At 42.0% G+C, this 17,352-nt stretch overlaps 1 protein-coding gene across 21 annotated transcripts in view, besides 2 other annotated features; it reads right to left on the bottom strand.

Moving 5' to 3' along the window:
* The window catches only part of CACNA1D (calcium voltage-gated channel subunit alpha1 D), a 319,123-nt gene that overhangs the window by 277,674 nt on the left and 24,097 nt on the right, over positions 1–17,352 (bottom strand). The gene's annotated exons all lie outside the window — the stretch shown is intronic.
* Positions 3,834–4,335: an enhancer, noted in NCBI's record as "NANOG hESC enhancer chr3:53565752-53566253 (GRCh37/hg19 assembly coordinates)". NCBI's record gives its function as "activates a minimal SCP1, AML or CMV promoter by ChIP-STARR-seq in primed H9 embryonic stem cells {active_cell/tissue: H9 hESC(primed)}" and the evidence as "EXISTENCE:reporter gene assay evidence [ECO:0000049][PMID:30033119]".
* Positions 9,031–10,230: an enhancer, noted in NCBI's record as "BRD4-independent group 4 enhancer chr3:53559857-53561056 (GRCh37/hg19 assembly coordinates)". NCBI's record gives its function as "activates an origin of replication core promoter dependent on BRD2, P300/CBP, MED14 and CDK7 cofactors, and independent of BRD4, by STARR-seq in HCT116 cells {active_cell/tissue: HCT116}" and the evidence as "EXISTENCE:reporter gene assay evidence [ECO:0000049][PMID:35650434]".

Genomic DNA, 17,352 nt, shown 5'->3' with positions numbered 1-17,352 from the left:
AATGAAACCAACCAACAAGCCCAGAAGAGCCACCCAGGCCTTCAGCCGTCATATCCACTGAATCTGTCACTAATATCTACTGAACACATATTAAGTATGCTGGCATCCACAGCTCGTTTGATCTTCCCCACCACCTAGAAGGCAGGAATTTTCACTCGGGAAGGTTAAGTGATGCTATCTCTGTGCTAAAATTCAAGACTCTAGAAACTTAATCTTTGCATTTGATAGCCTAAAAAATTTGACCAAATTATCTAAACCTAAAATGCAGTTTTTCTCTTCCAGAAAAGGAATAGAAATTTGTGGTCTAGGATATATCAGGATCTTCATAACTGCCCCAGCTTTCATCTCAGTTTTATGGCTGATAAAACAGGATTTCAAGTAATTAGTCTACTTCCCACTAGTCTGGGAGGAAAGGGATCCTTGTTTGCTTTTTGCAACCTCAAAAGAAACAACATGTTCTAATTCCACTCCACAGAAAACATTAAGAAGATCCATCCAATGCAGAGCTCTAATTTATAACCCTGGCACGCAACTCTTTTCTACATGGGAGGTAAAGCCTGCCAGTCAATATTCACCCCCCAGGTCAGGAGGCTAGAATTCTAAGCCAAAGACAGATTTGTATTTACCTTTAAACGGAAGTGACAAGCACATACCATGTAATCTATTCCAATAATACTGGATCCTCTGCTTCCTGTCACTCCACTCCAGATACCTTGCAGATGGACTGGCTTCCCTACATCCCTTTGGGGAGGGGGCTCACTTGGGACACACAGGCGACGGGAGGCTGTGATTGCTCCTGCCTGCCTGCCTTTACGTCACCGATGCACTCAGGGGAGAGTGCCCAGGCTCAAATTCCAAACTGTCACAGTGCTGCTGTACCAGAGGAGCTAGCAGCAAGGATAATAAAGACGTGGCATGCAGCTCTAGGTCTCTGCTGGTCCTTGTGTGAGCAAGTGTGAACAAGCGCTCTTTGGTTTCTCTACCCTTGCCTGGGTGCCTGTGTGTACCTACAAACTGGGGTTTACGGAGAGGAAAAGGTGCCGGCCTATTGGAGCAATTTGTGTTAGAGAGGAAGCCAGGGACATACAGAGAGATGTACACAGAACAAAGAGACACAGAGACAGAAAGAGAGACAAGGAGAAAGAGAACTGATGAGGTGCATAAGAAACGTTCCGTGGGGGAGCTGGCGTGAGTGGACATCTGCAAATGGTGATCTGGCCCGGCGCTGACAGCCAAGTCTCTTACTAATATGTGTATGAAAAGACATATTGATATTAAAATAAACACATTACATATTTAATTATGCCAACTACAGTTCATGATTTAGAGGAACAGATGCTTGGAGTAAAAAGAAATAGTGAGCATGTGAATGTGACAGAAGGTAAGAAAAGCAAGTGAGGAAAAGGGGCAGAATGGGGTGGGAAGGGCGTGGGTCACAGAAACCAGTGGGCAGAGAGAGACGGGGACAGAGAAAGCAGGGCCAGGTCCTGAAACGCCAGTATGTCCATGAGGTTGAGGGGCACACAGAATGGAGAGGTTCCAGAGGCTGCAGGCACCACCCTAGCCGCCCTCCCAGGCAGGAAGATGCGGAGGTTATGCAGACTCCGTCTTTCTATCCCCTCAGGACGTGGAGGGAGACCAAGAGAAGTGGGAGGGACAGAATGGGCACAGGCCCTAATGATGCTCTGGACGTACAAGGCTGGAGGAGATAAAATTAGATAAGATAAAGCTTAAGCCAGCAATTTGGAAGGAAAAGCAATCAGTTGAATTACAGAAAGGAAAAGCCACACAGGGGAGAGGGGCAGGGAGGCGAGGCCTGCCCTCACACTCTACCCACCACGCCACTTCTGGAAATAACTCAGGCGTCCCTGGGAGCCACACCAAAGGGCTGAGGGCCCCAGACACTTTCTTTGTGAGCTCAAGTACCTGGAATTACTGTCGAGAGGTATCCAAGGAGGCCTTCCCACTCAAGAACACAACCTACAGATGGGAATGCTGCTCCCCATCTTGAACCCCGGGGTAACTCAGTGGCTTCAGCTCCTCTACTACAGCTGCATACACCCACTACTATGAGTCTTTTTAATAATATTCTTCTGAAATGTATTGCCTATATGATGGATCGATCATATTTGTAATTATTAACGATGATGCTATTATCCCCGTTAAATGCCTAAAAATGCAGTAACCATCTCAGTACCCAGCGTATTGAAGGAAATGCCAAATAAGTGTTTGTCAAGTAAATTACAACTACTTGTAAAAGCCAGGCTGAAAAAAGGAGACAGTGACACCTAGTAACTATGCCCAAAATCTATCCTTCCCTGTCCAGGAGCATCAGGCAGCAGCTGCACGTGCTCAGCGCCCACGGCCATAGCAGCCGTGGAGGAGGCAGGCTGGGGACCCCAGGGAAGCTGCCTCAGGCCTGTCACAAAGAAGAGTGAGTGCTGCGGTCCCTGCACCCTCTGGGAATCCCAGGTCTGCCTACAAGGTCAGAACTGAATGTTACCCACCAGCACTGTTCTATCAGGAAAACAAATCATTTTTATAAAGAAAAACTCTCCCCTGATTCTGACCACACAGAAGAAGACAGAAAAATGAGCTGCAAAGACCATCTGATAGGGAATAACATAATACAAGAGAATACAAAAATCTATCCCAAACTTTTTTGGCCAAAGTCACCCCAATCTCTTTCCCATTTGCCGAATGGCCCTCTCCTCCCACATACGCGATTTTTAAACGTAGACCCGATCTACTTCTCAAAGTATTTAAGGTGATATACAATAAACAATAAGACTATCAAAATGAAAATGGGGAGGGAATCACATAAAAAAGTTAAAAACATAAATTTTAAACCTTGGCCAATCCAGCAACTATAATCAAGCAATAAATTTAGCTCTGAGCTTCTTTGAAGCCAAGACAAAAGGGGAAACATGATGGGAAACACAGATATATTAATAACTTGGAGAGAGATATCTCAGAGGGATCATGGCTAAGACATCAAAAGAAGTTTGATCTAGCAAAGAGCCTAGGTCGAAGTGCAAAATTCTCAGTTTGTATCTCAGCATCCTCACCCACTGGCTGTGCAGTTGTGGCCAATGTTACAGGAACAAAAACCTCCTCATGACCCTAGGCATGTTCAGTCAGGGGTCCCGGAGCCTGACAGAGCACCAGCACCTCTGCTGCCAAGATGTCATGCATCAGGCTCAACGTCACACCGCTGGATAAAAGGAGAGCGGGGGCTGGAGTCTGAGGTTGCTGTGTTCTGTTAACACACTCACTGCCTCTCTATTCCTCCCAGCTAAAAAAGTGTCTACCTCATCAAACTTAAGAACAACATAAAATCCAACTAATTTAAAGGGTTTTGAAAAAACGCATCAAAAACATAAAAGCAATATACATGCAAAAGCCAACTGAACAATATAATGAAAGTCTCAAATTCTAGTCAATAGGCCACTTTTCTTAAAAATCAAGAGACATGATAAAGTTCCAGTACCACCAAAAAGTGCTTAACACTTATCTTTATCCATCTCTTCATTCTCTTCACCTGTTGTGAAGTGCCCACTTGGTACTTCTCTCCAAATTTTGCTCACGCACCTCCAGATGCAACCTCTTGGGGCCTCTGTTTACACCTCAGTGGGATAGAAAAAACATCAGCCCTATGGTGTGATTGTGACTATTGGAGACAATGCCTGGAACAAAGCCATTGCTCCATAACTGAGAATAATCATGTGGTTAAAGTCTCACCTCCAGGCAGCATCCTCTGCACTCCACATTTTCTCTCTCCCTTATTCATTTCCAGATCCCCCTGCAGGACACAGAGTAAGATACCCACTGACTTCTTGTGGTCTACTTCCTGGGTGTTGTTTCAATGGGCTTTGTTATAACAGGACTAGTCTTCTGTAAATACAACTTGGTAAATAGGATGAAACATAACTTTGCGACAATTCAGTAGAAATAGGCATACAAACCTGGGCCTGATGACACTCACCTCCCCTTGGCTATAAACATTACCCTACCTGTTAAGTCAGTAATCCTTTGGGAGAGCGCTTACTGAGTATCTATGATATGCAAAGACCAAAGACCGAGGGGATCCCTGGTGTAGAGCAAGCACACACCTGTTATTAGCTACCTGCCACCTGCTGGGCATGCAACATACATTGTCTCAAATTCTAACCACCCTGCAAGGCAAGCTTCCTTGTTCTTTTAAGAAAAAAAGTAGACCAGCAAGATTGATTTGCTCAAGATTACACAGCCTGGAATCTTGTCATGGGCATGTCTGACTCTGATAGCAATACCCTCAAAGAAACTGTCAGAGAAGACTCAATAAGAAGAAAGTTGAGATACAGAAACCAAAAGGAGAAGGTAATTCAGAAATTCAAACAGAGTGGGTGTGATGGGAAGAATTCATTAATAAGAAGGTACCTCTGTAGAAAAATCTTACCAGACAGTCTGGAAGTGAAGGAAACAGCCAATAGTCCAGGGGGGTCAATCCAGAGAAATCAAGCCCCCACCAAATCATTTAACTTTGTTTCTTTTAGCCTAAATTATCTGCTCTGACACTTTATAACCTAAATGTTCTGGTTGTTGCAAACACTTCACTTCCCATTGTGTGGTTTAAAGACATGTTTTTCCTCCTATCTCCAAATATCCAAAACCTATGTGAGAATGTCATTTTTTTTAAGTCTCTATTCTATATCACTTTTCTAAAAATCAGAGTTAGACTATAATCTGCTAACGTAAACCTTGTCTTCTCAATTACAATTCCAAACGCATTATTCTTAAGGGTATATTAAACCATACACATCCAAAAAATAGATCCTAAAGGAAAGAAACACGGGGAGCTTGATTAGTTAGTTAGGGAAGGCTTCCTGAAGGAGGCCAGACTTGATATGTCTACAAAAATGAGGAGGAGGCTGGGCACAGTGGCTCATGCCTATAATCCCAGTGGGAGGCTGAGGCAAGAGGACTGCTTGAGGCCAGGAGTTCAAGACCAGCCTAAGCAACATACTGAGACCCTCACCTCTACAAAAAAAAAAAAAAAAAATTAAAATTAGCTGGGCATGGTGGGACTCTTATAGTCCCAGCTACTCGGGAGGCTGAGGTAGGAGGATTGCTTGAGCCCAGGAGTCAAGGCTGCAGTGAGCACTGATTGTGCCACTGCACTCCAGCCTGGGCAACAGAGCAAGACCTTGTCTCAGAAAAAAAAAAAGAAAAGGAGGATGTGCACGGGTGCAGAGCAAGTGTGGGGGACATTTCATGCTGGGGAACATTTTAGGCAAATGGTCCCCAAGACCTTTTCGATAAGGATACTCCAGCGAAACAAATGAGACTGTTACAGGAGGCAGCACTGAGGCAGGGCAGGTGGCATTGGAGAACATGCACACCACCCCATGGGCACCGTGCAACACCACCCACCACCCATGGAAGTGGTGACAACAGTGGGGAGGGGAAGCCTGTCAAGCAGATGTCACCAGGTGCTTCAAGCAGTGTTGTAGGTCCCTGCTTATAGGTGCCAGGCCAACTCACCCACCTTCCTTCGACTCTTGGAAAGAAAATAGTGGAGGTCTTTCTAAATCATGTGAGACAATAACTCCCCCAGAGGTGCCATCCTCTAGATTCCAGGGGATAAAGACGAGCACAAGAAGTACTGCTGAGCACTTTGTGTGGGATGTGTGTCTAAACACGACAATCTGAAGACAGAGGTGTAGAAATTGGCAAGTTTCCTAAAGCATGACAACACACACCCAAAACTCTTCCATAATGATTCCCTTTTTCCCTGTATTTTTCCTGGATGCACCATCACTATGGGAACCAGGATGGTTACTCCCAATTCCCTGTCACCCACCGCTTATTTAATAAACGATTTCTACTTTACTGAAATTGATGCTTCGTTTTCTTCTAATTCCATTCTATACTTTACCTCTGCTCTGAGTTACACTGAATTTATAACCCTTCTTTTAAACAGAAGTCTTGCAAGAACAAACTACAGCAGTATCAGCAACCAACAATGCCACCAATACAGATTAAAAAAACATTCTTATCTGAGGCCAGGTAACCAAATTTATGCAAAATAACTCAACAGATGCTGGTCAGTACTAGCTGACCCATGAATTTAAGCTCTTACTTGGAAGAAATACAACCCAAAGAGGAGAGAAAGGAAAAAAATGAGTCTCATATTAACATACAATAAAACCTTATTAACTGATAACTCCATAAATTATGAGTGGCAATCAGATAGATAATTCATTCTCTCAGTGATAAAAGAAATTTTGCTAATAAAATATAAGTACAATTTTAGCATAAGGAATGGTATGAGTTGCTCAACCCACTTAAAGTATTTCCCAGCCTCTCTGATGCACTGCTTCATACACAACAGTTATGTATGCCATTTCACAGATACCTCATGTTACTTAGCAGAGACTCTTGGCTGATCATTAAAATAATTCTAACTCTTTACCTAACAGTCATCACTCTACACACTTAAAGAAAACTAGACTTCTGCTGCTGGTCATGACAGAGCAACTGGTACCACACTATTTCTCACATTATGAGTCCAGCACAACCCAGACACCAAAGCCAGACAGGGACATTACAAAGAAAATGTACAGACCCAATATCCCTCAAGAACATACATGTAAAAAGCCTATGCTAAAATACTAGAAAATCAAATCCCTCAATATATAAAAAGGATAATATATCAGGACCAAGTGAGGTGCGTCCTGGGAATGCAAAATTGGTTTAACATGCAAAATTCAATGGAATTTACCACAATAAAATAAAGGAGAAAAACCATATGATTATCTCAATACATGTAGAAAAGACATTTGACAAAATTCAACATCCTTTCATAATAAAAACTCTCAGGAAAATAGAAACAGAAGGAAACTTCCTCAACCAATAAAGGACACCTATGCAGAACCTCCAACTAACACTGTACTCAGTGATGAAAGAATAAACACTTTCTGAGTTCAAGAAGAAGGCAAGAATGTCTACACTCTTACCATTTCTATTCTATACCATATGGAAGGTCTTAGCCAATGTTACAAGGCAAGAAAAATACATACATACATATATACATAAATAAGTATTAGAATGGAAGAAACAAAACTATCTTTATTCACAAAATAATTGTGTTCATAGAAAATTCTAAAGAATCTTCAAAAACTACTGGAAGTAATAAGTAAATGTGACAAGGCGGCATGTACAAGGCAACATATACAAAAATCAAGCATGTTTCCATATACTAGTAATAAACAACTAGAAGATTCTTTTTAAAATTCTATGTGCAATAAAATCAAAAATAATATAAAAATTAGGGATAAATAAAATACATGTAAGACCTCTATACTAATAACATTGCTGAGAAAAATTAGAGAAGATCTAAAGAGATACATCACACTCAGTGATTAGAAGACTCAATGTTCTTAAGCTATCCTTCTCCCCAAATTGACCTATAGATTCGACGTCATCTCAATCAAAACCCCAGAAGGCTGTTTTATAGAAATTGACAAGTTAATTCTAAAATTTAGATAGAAATGCAAAGGACCTAGAATAGCCAATACAATCTTGTAGTGAGGGGTGGAGAACAAAAATGGAAGAACTTATATAATCCAATGTTTAGACTTAAAACAAAGCATCAGTAATAATAACAGTACAGAGATAGCATAAAGACAAATGTGTCAATGGAACAGAACAGAGACCCTAGAAACAGAACCAAATTTATGTGATCCATTGATTTTCAATAAAGGTACCAAAGCAATTAAATGAGGACAGGAAAGCATTTTCAACATATGTTGCTGGAGCAACTGGATACCCACAAGGGAGGTGGCTGGAATTAACCTCTTAACCCCAACCTCATACCATAGAAAAGAAATTAATTTGAAATGGACCACAGACCTAAATGCAAAAGCTAACATCATATAAAGCTTCTACAAGAAAAAAGGTAAGAAAACATGTTTGCAATCTTTCTTAGGACCCAGGTAATATTAACCATAAAAGAAAAATCAAAATTTGACTTCAATATTAAAAGTAATAAACTAGATTTCTCTCCAACATTCTATAACTCAAACTCAAGTCTTTCCTTTTAATTGGTATGACTTAGTATTATCTAGCTGGGTATATTTCAGAATGATTCCAGAAGTTCTAATGAGAGCCTACACTCATGGACAGATCATGTACAATGCTTTTGACTAATCTGGTCTACATTTTCAAATGTCTTGAAATAGAATGCTATCCAAAAGACCTATAAAAATACTAATAATACTCTAACAATAGTCTATTGGCTACTGGGCACACTCCATTTATCTCAAATAATTAATGCCATAATTATCATCCAGTACTGTAAATACTACCAGCGCACAAAGCTTTATGGAGGGGCATGGATAGGAAGAAATGGGCCACATGTTAACAGACCAAGAACTGAGGGTCTAGCTGTCATACACAGCAGCCCAACCTCCCTGAGAAGTCTTTACCTTTTCCAAGATCAACGACTTAAACCTCAGCTAGGTAAGCTTTTTAGGTTCTAATTGGAATGCTACTGACCATAACTTTGAAATGTTGTAAACTTGACTTAATGCTATTTCATGCAACACAAACTAAGGTCATTTCCTTTAATAGCAGGAAAGGTTTGAGAATACAATCCTAATAAATCAAGCCAATGAACAAAGGGAAAAGGTGATCTTATTTTTCACTATATGAACTCAAGGCTTCTTATTTTGATGAACTACCCAATACAGTTCTCCAGTCAAAGCCATCAGAAAGGCAAATCCACACTGGAGTAGAAGAATGCTCCAACAGACATGGGATATCTGAGAAGATTCTGGCAATAGGCCTTGCCCTGCAACCTTCCAGCCACTATGCCCTTGGGTAAGTCATTTGATCTCTCTAAGCCCTAAGTTTTCTGATCTATAAAACAGGAATTGTGATACCTGCTTTGTTTCATCATAGATTGTTCTAGGATTGAATGAGAGAATGGACACGAAAGTACTTGGTGAATTATGAAGTACTATACATTCTGTGAGGGCTATAATGTTTGAGAGCTTTCTAACACGTTACCCTCAATGAAGATGCAGTTCTCAAAATCCAAGTGTGGGTGGGCAGTGGAGGAAAGATTTTCCTAGATTTATAGAATGTGAACATTAAAACTTTAAAGAGCTTATCTGGCAATACGCCCTGCTCATTTGACAAATTAGGAGATAATAACAATAGCTGCTTCTTATGCACGATGTACTATGTTCCAGGTGCCATGCCTTACTCAAATCACTTCATTTATTTCTCATAGCAACTCTGAGGGGATACTATTTTACAGATGAGGAATCCAGGCTTGGTGACAAAGTGAAGATGTACAACCGGGGGGAGAAAAGTTGGTACAATTCTCCACTCTTCTATACAAAACCTCAGAAAGATTAAGAATGTTTATCTGTGTAACGTAGCCAATTGGAGGGCGTGCCATTGCACCAGCTGTCCTTATTCACTATGTGTTTGAAAAACCTCGAACAGTAATCACCATTAAGGTTAGGGTCAAGGTCCGAATGCTTACCTGAAATAAGTTTTCCACCCCACCTCTAGGAAGGACAATGTTCTCAGGGAAGACAAGATTTGGTGTCTAAATCCACAGTGCAGCTAAAACCACATGGTAACAAGATGCTGTACTCATACTGGAATAAATTCTGACTTAAGGCTATGTCAGGTGGGAATACAGCCCCAAGTTCAGGCTGTCCTGACAATGGGTCAGGCCAGAGTTCAAGCCTACATCATTACCTTTCCCCAATAACCAATACTTGACTCTCTTTCCATTCTTAGCCCAGGAACTTAGGGTAGAGTTGGCTCCTCCCCAGGTCGAGGGGTGACGCACATGACCTGGCCCCACGTCAGCAGTGCTGCACACGTCCCTGGCCTTGCAACTGGTTCCGGATGTGCGCGTGACCCAATCTGAGACAATGGGAAGAAACAAGACTCCATCTGGAAGGACTGGGACAAAGACTCTCACACTCTCTTTTGCTGGAAGGTGGAAAGGCGTAGGCCTAGAAACTGTTGGCAGCCATCCTGCAATTACAAGGGGAGGTCGTGTCTGAGAATTCTTGAGAATGGAATCAACATACAGGAAGTGGAGCCAGGCTGGAGAGAGAGAAACCAGATCCTGGTGACATCATTTGAGCGCCTGAGCTGACTCCAGTTTATCCCTGGACTGGCCAGCAATGTGAGCCAATAAATTCCTCTTTGGCTTAATCTAGTCTGTGCTGGGTTTGAGCTCACTACCTGGGACCAGAGCTCTAAAACACAAGCTCAAGGCCATCTATCCCCAACTGAACTGTGAGCTTCTTGAGGTCAGGAAGGACTCCTGACTCCCTCAGTTAACGTTCAGAGAATTGGGCTGATCCTTGGCACATCCTGAGAGCTCCAAATATATGGGAATTATATAGGTCACCTTCAGACTTTGCAAAGCAAAACCTACACCCAAGCAGAAAATAACAAAAACCTGCAAGGCCCCATATGATCACTGAATTATTAGTTCTAGCTTATTCCCACTGTACTGCCCACCTCCCCTACTGCAAAGCTACCAGGTTTGACATGCTGCTACCTACTCTTCACCACTGGGTCATCTCCTCCTTAGTAAAATAGCTCTGGAAGACAACAGGAATGAGTTCATGTCCTGATCTAGCCCTTTATTTCATATTTAAAAAATGGAGGTAACACTTAATATTTTTCAAGCTACCAATAATACACAGAAATCACTTATTACAGGGATTGTGCTCATTTACGATACCAGGATTTTTACTTCTACTGCTCCTAAGAGCTAAGCAATAACTATGAGTTAAAGGCAAGTGAGATCTCACTGCATAATCCACCTAGGTAGAGGGAGCAAGAGCCAAGCCCTAAATATTCGGCCCAGAGTCCTTGCCAACTCGAGTAAGGATAAGACATACACCAATCTCTCCTCTATTGCCTACAAAATAAGTTTTCAGAAAACTTATTTTCCCCAAATAAAGTGCTAAGCAGAACCTCAAACACACATACATGAAGGAGAGAGTGAGGGAGGAGGCTGCTGTGTGGGTAGCACGAGTGGGAGGGCACAGTTCCACTCTCCCGAGCCTCTCCCCACTGCTCCAGGCCACGCAGAACCTCCAAAGCACCCTAGTGGCCTGCCCCTGTGTCATTTCATTGCTTCTCAGAAGATTTGAAAATCCAAAAATAAGCAAAATTAATATATGGTTGAAATTCATGGCTCAAGTGAGTGAGTGTTTAAAACCATTTCCATTTTCTTTCCTTGGCTGAAAAGGCCAGACATCCACAGGCTATGTGAAAAAGAAAACAAAGGCAATGATCCAAGAAATTCAGCCTGAAAACTTACTCTGCTCCAACCAGAGAAACTTAGGCCCATGGTAAAAGCTGAACAAGAAATTAATTAAAATGAACCCCAAAAGAGGCTTCAAAGGCCAGGTACACATGTACCCCTGACCTATGTCACATCCCTGCTCCATCATCTCATCCCTAGAGCCCTGTTCCTACTAACTTAAAAGTGCACTAGCTGAGCCTAGGACATTTTCAACCTGTTTTTAAGATTTTCATGCAAATCTTCTGTAAACTGCATTTCTGGTGCTAAACTGATGCTTAAATGTATCTTGTAGTTTTGTGTGTTGGCACAGCAGTCATTAAGCTTGTCTTTGGAAAGAACTGTTTTCCACCTCTAAAGAAGACAGCAAAAAAGTTCCACTGTTAAATAAGATATTCTGTGTTTATGGCACGGAATTCCTTCCACAATTCTGTGCTTGCCCTCTCCCTGCTCTGGGAATCCTTCCCAGGATGTCCTGTTGGGCTCCATCCACCCACTGCCCAATTCAGGAAAAAGTAACCCTTACATTCTCAGCACAAACCTGACTGTTCTCTGCTCTTATCAAGTTCAAAGGCAAAATGAGCACCTTCCCCCCATCCTCCCCTCACCATGGACAGAAGAATTATTCCATTTCCTCAGGTCGCTACTTCTAAACTGGAATTGATAAAGTTTCAGGACCATATGGAAAAGGGACCTCATACCTGAGAAGCCCAGCAAAAGGGAGTTCTCCTAAAAATGAGAATTTCACAGATATTCACCAAATGAACACTCTGCACCAGTCCTTGAGTAGTGATAAGAGACAACACTGTCCTTGCCCTCAAGGCTCTCAGAGTCTGGTGGAGGAGGCTGACCTCAAAAATAACAAGTCTCTTTGTTTCTGAATGCTTTCTTTAAAGTCAAGGACAGTCCTCCCTGCAAAAAATAGATTCTAGAGATAGGCTGGAGATAAGAAAAAGAAATGAGAACCCTGGTGATCTTGCCGTAATTGAAAGGTTTCTTAATACCTTCTAATTATGAGAGTGGCAAAGGGGGGCCTGAAGGCAGGACTGAGTGCCTAACGTGGGTTAAATAAATTAAAATCTAAGCCTGGGCAATGTCTCCAAGAAGTTGCTTTGCTTGTTTGTGTGTATGAAGTACCTGTCCTTGTGTAAATGAAGACATACACCATGGCACTTGGAATGTGCCTATGGCGAAGCGCCAGAGGCCCTGGATGCCAGTCTCAGTTGTGCCACTGTGAATTTGCTATGATTCTTGGTCAATCCTTTCTCATGTCTGAGATAGTCCCCAGACTCATTTCTGGTCTATAATATCCTAGCTTGGTCCAAACTACAGTATCTCCCATCACTAAGATGTGGGTAAAACATCCTTTTACATAGAGCAGTTTTGAGATTTTTTCCATAGCCTGTTGACCTTGGATTGATGGCTCAGATGGCCCTCAGGGTTACAGGAACCTGAAATAAAGGAAACCTCTACACAGGGCACCCAGCAGGACTACACCCATCTCCCTCATGTCACTGTCTCAGAACACCCAGTGTTCCAACTCCTGCCTCTTGCCCCACTTCACTCAGCATCTTGCAAATTCTTGGAACTGACTGCCTCTAAAATGAAGTACCCACCCAAAACACCACCAACCAATGCAGCCAAAAGAACTAAACTCGAGAGTACTCCAACTTCCATCACGGTAAGTGAAATAAGCCAGGCACAGAAAGAAAAATATCGCATGTTCTCACTCTTATGTGGGAACTAAAAAAGCTGATCTCATGGAGACAGGGAGTAGAATAATAGTTATCAGAGGCTGAGAAGAGGGGCTGGAGGGGGATGAAGAGAGGTTGGTTAATGGGTCAAACACACAGTTAGATGGAAGAAATAAGCTCTAGTGTTTGATAGCACAGTAGGGTGACTAATAGTTAATAATTTATTGTATATTTCAAAATAGAAGATTTGAAATGTTCCCAACACAAAGAAATAGTGTTTGAGGTGGCGGATACCCTAATTACCCACTATGATCATTACACCTTACAGGCATGTATCAAAATAGCACATGTACCCCATACATATGTACAATTATTACATATCAATAAAATTTTCGATAAAAAATTCTTCAACATCTTCCCCTAGTCCAAAGAGTAGATCAATTCATCCACTCATTCAGCATTCACTTTTAGGAGCTAACCTCTCCAAGAAAGAACACACTTCTTGCAAGCATCTTTCAGCTCTATTTCTGCAAGTCACACCTATTGGCTGAGGTGAGGAAAGGCACTAGCCTTTATACTGGCAACCACATCCAAAAACTATGCAGAAGAAGTGTCTCTGCCTGCAGGGCCCACAGACCATCTAGTCTGGGTAGGGGGCTTGCTAGGAAGCCCAGAGGCAACTACATAAAGAAGAAGCCTGAGCAGCAGGTAGATGAGGGACCCACAGAAGACAGATCACAGCTGGGTGTCTAGGGCACCACTGGGTCAGGAGTGGACAGAATGCCAGTGGGTATAGCCAGTGCTGCCCAACAGGACTGGCTGCAATCATGGAAACAACCCATATGTCGTCTAATACGGTGGCCATATATAAATAAGGAACAATGGAAATGTGGTTTTTTTTCCCCCAGCTTCTCGCTCTGTCACTCAGGCTAGAGTGCAGTGGCATGATCACAAATCACTGCAACTTTGAACTCCTGGGCTGAAGCAATCCTCCTACCTCAGCCTCCTGGGTAGCTAGCTAGGACTACAAGCACACACCACCATGCCTGGCTAATTTCTTTTTTTTTTTTTTTTGGTAGAGATGGGGTCTCACTATGTTTTCCAGGCTGTTCTCCAACTCATGGCCTCAAGCAATCCTGCCTCAGCCTCTCAAAATACTGGGATTATGGGCATAAGTCACAATGCTTAGCCAAAATACAGCTTTATGACTGAGAATCTTAAATTTCATTTAATTTTAATTAGTTTAAGTTCTTATAATGACATGTGGCCAGTGACTACCATTTTGGACAGTGTGGCTCCAGGCTATATAGTGTACCTTCTGGAAGAAAGGACAAAATTTCTAACATGACTCTTCCTTATTGAAAAACAAATGAACTGTGTGCTTCAGAGCCTACCAATTATCTTTCCCTACATATACACCCAAACCTTTCGACCCTCAGAAACAGTGGGGTGGAAACTGAGAATGTCCCAAGGTGAAAGTCCAGAGACTTATACTCCAGTCCTGGTTTTGTGGGTCTGTGACCCTCAGAAAGGCCCCTCCTCTCTGATCACAGTGCCTCCCGTTACTCCGACAAGGGAGTTGGAACAGGCAACCTTGAAGACTCAATCCAGCTATGGCCTTCTAACAATGTATATTACGCGTCATCAAAAGTAAAAACTTTTGTGCTTGAAGGATACCATCAAGAAATTGAAGAGGCCAGCAGTGAGTAGCTCATGCCTGGAACACCAATGCTTTAGGAAGCTGAGGCAGGGAATCGCTTGAGGCCAGGATTTCAAGACCAGTTTGGGCAACGTAGCAGGACCCCCATCTCTACAAAAATTTTTAAAAATTAGCACAGGTTGGGTGGCACACACCTGTAATCCTAGCTACTCAGGAAGCTGAGGCAGGAGGATTGCTTGAGCCCAGGAGTTCAAAGTTGCAGTGAGCTATGATGATACCACTGTACTCCAGTATGGCCAGCAGGGCAAAAGCCTGAAGAAAAGAGAAAGAAATAGGGAAAGAGAGAGAGGAAAAAAGGAAAGAAAGAAAAAAAGAAGAAAGAAAGAAAAGGAAAAGAAAGAGAAAGGGAGAGAGGAAAGGACAGGAGGAAAGGAAAGGAGAAAGAAAGAAAAGAAAGAAAAAGAAAAGAAAAGAAAAGAAAAGAAAGAAAGAAAGAAAGAAAGAAAGAAAGAAAGAAAGAAAGAAAGGAGTTTGCAAATCATAAATCCAAAAAGGAACTGGTATACAGAATATATGAAGAAGTCTTATAAACCAATAATTTTTTTTTTTTTGAGATTGAGTCTCACTCTGTTGCCCAGGCTGGAGTGCAGTGGCATGATCTAGGCTCACTGCAACCTCCACCTCCTGGGTTCAAGCGATTCTCCGGCTTGAACCTCCCAAGTAGCTGGGACTACAGATGCCTGTGACCATGTCTGACTATTTTTTGTATTTTTAGTAGAGACAGGGTTTCACCATGCTGGCCAGGCTGGTCTCGAACTCCTGGCCTCAGGTGACCGACCCGCCTTGGCCTCCCAAAGTGCTGGGATTACAGGCATGAGCCACCATGCCCTGCCACAAACCAATAATTTTAAAAATTCAATTTAAAAATGAGCAAAGGATTTGATACAAACGGCTAATAAGCACATGAAAAGATGCTCACTATTATTAGTCATCAGAGAAATGCAAATCAAAACTACAATGAGATACCACTTCATATGCACTATGATGGCTATAATTAAAAAGATAGACAATAACAAGTGTTAGCAAAGACGTACAGAAATTGGAACCTCCACATGTTGCTGGTGGTAATGTAAAATGGCGCAGCTGCTTTGGCAAGCAGCTTGGCAGTCCCTCAAAATGGGAAAGTTACCATATGACCTAGCAATTCCACTCCCAGGAATATAGCCAAGAGAATTGAAAACTTAAGTTCACAAAATACTTGCACATGAATGTTCACAGCAACATTATTCATAATAGCCAAAAAGGGGAAAACACTCAAATGTTCATCAGTTGATGAAGAGATAAATAAATGTGGTATGTCCCTTTAGTGGACGATTATTCTACCATAAAAAGGAATGAAGTAGTGATACACACGATAGTATGAATCAACCTTGAAAACATTATGCTAAGCCAGGCAAAAAGGACACATATTGTATGATCCCGTTTATATGAAATATTCAGAATAGGTAAATCCACAGACAGAAAGCAGATTAGCAATTGCCTAGGGCTGGGGCTAGGGAGGGGGAATAGAATGGAAAATGGGGTGACAGCTAATAGGTATGGGGTTTCTTTGGGTGATGAAAATGTTCTAAAGTTGATTTTGATGATGGTTGCTTAACAGTGAATATAGTAAAAAACACTGAATTGTATGATTTAAATTAGTTAAGTATAGGGTGTGTGAATTATATCTCAATCTCAATAAGGCTTCTTTTAAAAAGTATGAACATGCCATGATCCCTGCTACTTACTGGAAACCAATTAATTCTGTTATTCTTTGCCTCCAGGTCCCAATGCCAGGTGCCAGTGACCAGTGCTGATTATCTGATCCTGGCTGCAGAACACTGACTCAGGTCAAAGATGCTTCAATTATAAGCAAGAGGCCTCTTTCTACAACAGTCTTTGTCGTCTCGCACAGCTTCACACAGCAAGGATGAAGCTCCCTCTGCTACAGATAAGATTAAATTGTCTAACTTTCCTGGTATCAAAAATGCGTTTTTGAAACAGGCAAGAAAAAAAAAGCAGAAACTTACATATCCTTCTGAGTCAAGCTCAAGACGCCCTGCTGGCAAGTGAAGCAATTCTGTCTACTTCTGTAAATAACCTGAATGACAGCTGTGACTTCTACGATTGCATCAGTTCCCAAGGACCCTCAAACCCTAGCAAGGGTCAGGCATGTAGCATCACTATGCAGAACCCCAGAACCGAGTCTCTTTACTCTGAGGTAACAGGAAAATGTGCCTTGCCAGGGAGTGAGGAAGGCTTCTAAAAATCAGGCATTGGCCAGGAGTAAAATATCTTACTTTCCCATTTTCCTGGGGCCAAAGGCTAAAGAGAAAAGGTGAAGGAATTCTTGGCACAAGGAGAAAGTCAGGCCAGACGAGACTGCAGACTTAGAGAAGCGTGACTGCGAAGTGGTAAAGCTGTTTGTTTAATAAACACATCAGAATTGTGTAAATATGTGTTCCTTCAAAGTAGTAAGCTTGGGAAGCTGGACACGTAATTCTGATAATATTGCCATTCCTCAACGTAAGACCTTCAGAGCCCATGACACATTGCACTCAAGATTCTCAAAGATAAGAAAACTTGGTTATTTGAAGATAGATTTGATTTTCTTACAAATACTCAAGAGT

Source organism: Homo sapiens, chromosome 3 (genome assembly GCF_000001405.40).
Source record: "Homo sapiens chromosome 3, GRCh38.p14 Primary Assembly".
Classification (NCBI taxonomy): domain Eukaryota; kingdom Metazoa; phylum Chordata; class Mammalia; order Primates; family Hominidae; genus Homo; species Homo sapiens.
The sequence above is the reverse complement of the archived record's forward strand: the minus strand, read 5'-3'. Positions and strand labels throughout refer to the sequence as shown.